This window comes from Homo sapiens, chromosome 17, assembly GCF_000001405.40.
Source record: "Homo sapiens chromosome 17, GRCh38.p14 Primary Assembly".
Lineage (NCBI taxonomy): Eukaryota > Metazoa > Chordata > Mammalia > Primates > Hominidae > Homo > Homo sapiens.
Genome location: NC_000017.11, coordinates 78,583,966 through 78,590,474, shown reverse-complemented (window position 1 = coordinate 78,590,474; position 6,509 = coordinate 78,583,966). Strand labels below are relative to the sequence as shown.

General features: G+C 52.2%; 3 annotated features.

Moving 5' to 3' along the window:
• Positions 1,162-1,674: an enhancer, noted in NCBI's record as "H3K4me1 hESC enhancer chr17:76584883-76585395 (GRCh37/hg19 assembly coordinates)". NCBI's record gives its function as "activates a minimal SCP1, AML or CMV promoter by ChIP-STARR-seq in naive H9 embryonic stem cells {active_cell/tissue: H9 hESC(naive)}" and the evidence as "EXISTENCE:reporter gene assay evidence [ECO:0000049][PMID:30033119]".
• Positions 1,675-2,187: an enhancer, noted in NCBI's record as "H3K4me1 hESC enhancer chr17:76584370-76584882 (GRCh37/hg19 assembly coordinates)". NCBI's record gives its function as "activates a minimal SCP1, AML or CMV promoter by ChIP-STARR-seq in naive H9 embryonic stem cells {active_cell/tissue: H9 hESC(naive)}" and the evidence as "EXISTENCE:reporter gene assay evidence [ECO:0000049][PMID:30033119]".
• Positions 3,188-3,349: a silencer, noted in NCBI's record as "fragment chr17:76583208-76583369 (GRCh37/hg19 assembly coordinates)". NCBI's record gives its function as "represses an EF-1alpha promoter that drives an FKBP-Casp9 reporter gene in an ReSE screen in K562 erythroleukemia cells {active_cell/tissue: K562}" and the evidence as "EXISTENCE:reporter gene assay evidence [ECO:0000049][PMID:32094911]".

Here is a 6,509-nt window from a genome sequence, read left to right as displayed (position 1 = left end):
TTTACTCTAAATCAGTGACTCTCAAACCTTAGCCTGCATCAGAGTCCATTGGGGGCTTGTGAAATACAGATTGCTGCCCCACAATCTGGGGTGGCCCCGGGCTCTGTGATCCCAACGAGAATCCAGCTGATGCAGAGGCTGTTGGCCCAGGGGCCCCACTCTGAGAACCTCCGCTCTAAGTGGAGTGGCGGTGGGGGGGGGTGGGGAATAAAAATGAAAATTATAGAAGACTTGTGTTATCTAATTAATAAAAATGCAGGTTGCAGGTGCTGTCAGTTCTCAGCATAATCACAGCATGACCGAGCAGAGAGGAAGGGCAGGGAGGGGCGGCCCCATGCCTGCGGGCCGGACTGCCTTCTCAGCACGCGTCAGATGGACCGATGCCACCTGAAGGTGCTTGCGGTGGACACAGAATGTGCGGATGGGGAGATGGCAGGAGGGACAGGGCTTGGCGATGCTGACATCACAGGCAGCCCATGTGAAGTGGAAGGGTTCCTACTGAGGGCTGAGAACAGACACCAGCCCCCAGGAGCCAGACCACGCCCCAGGGGAGGGACGCGCCCTGCCTGGAGTCCTGAGAATCTACCTTTCCTCCTCCCCCAGATTCAGAACCCCCTTATTATGCTGAGGCCTGACAAAAGGCTCCCTCCTTGACCCAACTTCAGGCAGACTCTGCTGAGCCCTCTTTTTTTTTTTTTTTGAGACAGAATCTCACTCTATCACCTAGGCTGGAGTGCAGTGGTGCGATCTCGGCTCACTGCAACCTCTGCCTCTCTGGTTCAAGCGATTCTCCTGCCTCAGCCTCCCAAGTGGCTGGGATTACAGGCGCCTGCCACCACGCCTGGCTAATTTTTGTATTTTAGTAGGGACGGGGTTTCACCATGTTGGCCAGGCTGGTCTCAAACTTCTGACCTCAGGCAATCCACCCGCCTCGGCCTTCCAAAGTGCTGGGATTACAGGCGTGAGCCACTGTGCCTGGCCCACTGAACCCTCTTTTGATAAGGCCTCCGTTCTCGAGCCCGGTCCTCAGCCTGCCCACGCCAGTCTCAGCAGAGAATCCTACTGAGTCACCCCAACCCTTGAAATCTGATCGAGTTCCTCAGCACCTCTGCTTTCCCCCGGCCATATCCAGGTCCTTGGTCTGCCTTTAGCAAGAACCCCCACTTGAAGTTCTCCTCTTAGCAATTTTCCATCCACTGACCCCTCGCTGCTCATGGCTGTAAGTCCCCATCTGCAGGGTGGTGTTGGGATCAAGTTCGGCTCTTTCCCCGGTTGCAACATCCCGTATATGGTCTGTCCCTATCTCTTTGAGTCTACATGAGGTGTGTCTGTGACCACTGCCTGTGCCCCAGGTACGTCTCCCTGTGTGGGCGGAGGCAAACTCCTCCAGAGACCCCACACTGTTTCCCAGCCTGGATGGCTTGGAATCCATGCATTTCTGTGCTTTGTTGGGGGCCTCACCCTTAGGACCTGTGTGCAGAGACTCCTAAAGAGAAAAGGTTCCCAGGTCTCCACAGCGTGTACCCTTGCTGTGACCTTTGGAAACCTGGCTGGCAGGGACTTCTCTGGCCGCGGTGTCCTGCCCCTGAAGGGAAGGGTGGTCTACCTGGCCAGCCTGACTGCTCAGGCCCAGCCCTCCCTTTCCACCCAACTTCAAGGGTAAGGACGCGCCTGGGCAGGAGGACAAAGGCCACCTCCTGTTCCTCTGCTGGGAACGCAGCAGGAGGACACGCGGCAGGGCCCCAGTAGACAGAGGGAGGTGGGGAGCCTGATGAAACACAGACGGCCCGGCCTCTCCTGTCTGCAAGCATCCCCGGCAGCGGGAAAGGGACCTGCGATTTTCTTTAATGATGGGTAATGTCTTCATGAAATTTGCCTTCCAAGTTCATTCAGCTGGGAGGAAGTGTTGCCCCTGGGGATGACTGAGTTCTCTCAGCTCATCCCGGCCCTACCTCGATGTGGGCTGTGACTGACAGAAGCAAAAAAAGAGTGAAGGGCATCCTCGGCTGGTGGCCCTGGCAGGGAGGACTGAAGCCAGACACCCACTCCCCTGCCCCCAATCCAACACCCAGCCAGGAAGAGAAACATGAGGCAAGTGCCTGTCAATCAAGGAAAATGAGCCAGGTGAGTCTCAATCATTTCAGGAGGTTTATTTGCCAAAATTAAGGACATATGCCTGGGAGGCAGGTCTATGCTTTTCTCTGAAGATGATTTTGAGGGCTTCAATATTTAAAGGGAAAAGGGCAGGCTATTGAGAAATACAATTTTCTTTCTCTTCTTTTTTTTTTTTTTTGGGAGATGGAGTTTTACTCTGTTGCCCAGGCTGGAGTGCAGTGGTGCAATCTCAGCTCACCACAACCCCCATCTCCTGGGTTCAAGTGATTCTCCTGCCTCACCCTCCCTAGTAGCTGGGACTACAGGTGTACATCATCATGCTCAGCTAATTTTTTTGTAGTCATAGTGGAGACGGGGTTTTACCATGTTAGCCAAGCTGGTCTGGAACTCCTGACCTCAAGTGATCCACCTGCCTCGGCCTCCCAAAGTGCTGGGATTACAGGTGTAAGCCACTGTGCCCAGCCAGAAATACACAGTTTTCATGTGAGAGGGAGGTAGGGGAAAATAGTCATTCATGCCTTTGTCTGGCTTGGTGAATCTGCATTGTTACCTAAGATAACGTAGACAATGGGGCAGAGGAAGCAATCAGCTATGCACTTGCCTCAGGTGGGCAGAGGGATGTCTCAGTCAGTGCAGTGTCTCCCCGACACCTGTGAAGGTAAGCTATCAATTGACATTGCCATGGTGAAATTTAACAGAAACCCTTTAGGGTAAAGATCTTGGGGCCCACAAGAAATTTCACTCAAAAAAATGAGTGAAGGGGGCCCTTGGCTGGTGGCCCTGGCAGTGAGGACTGAAGCCAGACAACCCCACACACACCAATCCAACGCCCAGTCAGGAAGAGAAACACAGCGAGCTCCTGCCAATTGAGGAAAATGAAATCATTTCAGGAGGTTTATCTGCAAAAGTTAAGGACACGTGCTTGGGAGGCAAGTTGATGCCTTTCTCTGATGATTTTGAGGGCTTCAGTATTTAAAGGGGAATTTCCTTGTGGGCGCAATGTGAGGGAGGTGTGTGGCCTTGTCTTGTAGCTGTCTCACTTAGGAACAAAAATGGGAGCGCATGGTCCAGTTCCCAGCTTGACTTTTCCCTTTGGCTTAGCGAGTTTGGGGTTCCCAAGATTTATCTGCCTGTCATACTCTGTCCCCTGCCTGTCATACTCTGTCCCCTGCCTGTCATACTCCTCTGTCCCCTGCCTGTCATACTCCTCTGTCCCCTGCCTGTCATACTCCTCTGTCCCCTGCCTGTCATACTCCTCTGTCCCCTGCCTGTCATACTCTGTCCCCACTGCTCTCGCCACTTCCTGAGGGCCTGATGTTTCTGCTGCACCGTGGACAGCATGGTGCATCCACCCCAAAAAGCTGGCTGTGCTCCTGGAAAGTGAGGGTCCTTCTCTATCTTCTTTGCACAAGGTCCTCAGGTGTGATGTCGGGGCAGCTGGAAGCTGTTTCTCCACATCCCTCAAGCCTCCTGCAATGCCCAGCAGAGCCCTAGTGCTGCAGTTTGAGGCTCAAGGGGCCACATCCCCAACTCCCTTCAGGTCACCACGTCACCAACAGATGTCCCAGTCTTGGTGTTGCAGAACTTAGCTCCTTCATTCAGCTAAAACCAGGCTTTTGTCACACGACCAGGAAAAATTAGGCACGCAGACACACTGAAGCAGGAGGGGAACGGAATTTACTGGGCAAAAATGAAAAATAAAAAACTCCCAGCAAAGTGAGAGGGAGCCGCGCTAACAGGCCCCCCACCTCATAGATTGATTCCGGGCCACACATCCAGGGACTAAAGAGGCCAGGCTTACCTCCCCCATGCAAACAGCGAGAACCTCCAGTGGCTCCACCCGGTCCAACCAGTGCGCAGGTTGGAGATTCTCTGGGGACCTCCCGCTTATCTGCCTCCTGCATCTGTCATGGAGCCCTTGAACTCGGAGACCCCAGAGAAGCACAGCTCCGGTGGGAGCTGGACCCACTGAGACCTTGGTCTAGTGTTCTTCAAACTGTTCCTCAGAGTAGTGATAAGGCTTCAGGTGTTAAAAACCTTAGACAAATTAAATGTAACCGTTTAATTGGGCAAAGACCAATTTGCAAATCGGGCAGCTTCCCAAGCCAGAGTAAGCTCAGACTCCAGGGCAGCCACGTGGTGGACGATTTATGGACAGAAGAAGGAAAAGTGATATGTAGAAAATGGAAGTGAAGCACAGACCAGCAGGATTGGTTACAGCTCCATGTTGGACTTGAACGTGGTTTGAACAGTCGGCCATCTTTGATTGGCCAAAACCCTGTGACTGGCACAAGAGTAGGTTACAGTCTGTTTATGACTCTATTTAGGTTATAGCTCACTACATACAGAGAAACCTTTAGACCAAACTTAAAATATGTAAGAAGGCAGCTTTAGGATAAACTTGATTTAGCAGGACAGGTGCAGTGGCTCATGCCTGTAACCCCAGCACTTTGGGAGGCTGAGGTGGGTGGATCACTTGGGGTCAAGAGTTTGAGACCAGCCTGGCCAACATAGTGAAACCCTGTCTCTACTAAAAATACAAAGATTAGCCAGATGTGGTGGCACATGCCTGCAATCCCAGCTACTCTGGAGGCTGAGGCAGGAGAATCGCTTGAACCTGGGGGTTGCAGTGAGCAGAGATCACATCATTGCACTCCAGCCTGGGTGACAGAGGGAGATTCCATCACACAAAACACACACACGCACACGCACACACACAAACATAAACAACAAACAAAAAACAACCAAACACAAACTGAAAGGAAAGAAGGCTTCCACGGCCAAGCAAGTTTGGGGATCACTGGGTAAGGTGAGGTTAGATGAGTCTTTGCAACAGGGCTTCCCAGAGCTGCTGTCCCTTCAGTGATGTTTATCAAAGGCTGGCTGTGGGCCAGACACAGTGTCAGATTCCAGAGTGATGGTGCTGATCAGAAGGGGTGGCCCTAGGTGTGAGAGGCGGCAGTGAGGTAACCCATGAGTGCTTAGGTGATTGGCTCACTGCAGCTGGAATGGGTGCCACACAGGAACACAAGGAGCTATGATAAAAAGAGCCTACTGGGGAGATTGACGGGAGACAGTAAGGAATGATACTGAAGCTGGGCTCTCAGGGCTGAGTAGGAGCTGGTAGGGGTGTGTGTACATGCATGCATGGGTGTGCGTGCATATGTCTGCATATGTATACGTGTGTGTGTGCGCGTGCATAGGATTCTTGGCCAGGCAGGAGGACCCTATGGTTGGCAGATGTCTTGGAGGACCTGAAAGAGACCAATGTGACTATAGCACGAGCCAGGATTGGACCCCAGGAGAGTGGGCAAGGCAGGGATCAAATCTTACAGGGCCCATGGAGGGCATTTGAATTGTATCCTAGGAGCAATAGTTCATGGGTTTTAAGCAAGGCATTGAGAGTTGTCTTTTTCTGTTTTTTTAATTAAAATGTTTTATATTCTGAGACCGAGTCTGTGTTGCCCAGACTGGAGTGCAGTGGCACAATCTCAGCTCACTGCAACCTCCACCTCCTGGGTTCAAGCCATTCTCCTGCCTCAGCCTCCCCAGTAGCTGGGACTACAGGCGCCTGCCACCATGCCTGGCTAATTTTTGTATTTTTGTTTAGTAGAGATGGGGTTTTGCCATGTTGGCCAGACTGGTCTGGAACTCCTGGCCTCAAGTGATCCGCCTGCCTTGGCCTCCCAAAGTGTTGGAATTACAGGTGTGAGACATGGCACCTGGCCTGAGAGTTGTCTTTTTAAAGATGCTGGAGAATGGGCTATATGGGGACAAAAGAAGTTGTTAAGAAAGGAATGAGGGTATCCATAGGCCTGGGGAGGGTGAGAGTGGCTTAGACCAGGAGGATTAGCTGTGGAAAGAGGTGGACAGAGCTCAGAGAGATTGAGGAGGTAAGACTGAATGGTACCACAGTGAGGGCGAGGGTCCTCTGGGTGCCTGAGCAGCTGTGGGTCACTCACGGAGCCAGGGAACCTGAAAGACGACCAGGAGTGTGGGGATGGCAGGGTGGGGGGGGGGCATGGGCAGAGGTCGGTTTTGTACATGTTGAGTTTTGAGGGTCCCATGAGGCTTCCAAGGAGTTTCTTTGAGCTCAGGATGAATCTAGGCGAGTGTGGTGGAGATTGGCTGTGGACAATCCTTCCATGGACTCTCTTGGTCCATTTAGTAACACAACTCTCCAAGTCTAGGGTGGACAGCTGGATGCCAGCCTGTGTTAGTCCATTTTGCATTGCTATAAAGGAATACCTAAGACTGGGTAATTTATAAAGGAAAGAGGTCTATTATTTGGCTCACAGTTCTGCAGGCTTGCACAAGCATGGCACTGGCATCTGCTCAACTTCTGGGAGGCTTCAGGAAGCTTCCAATCATGATGGGAGATGAAGGGGGAGCTG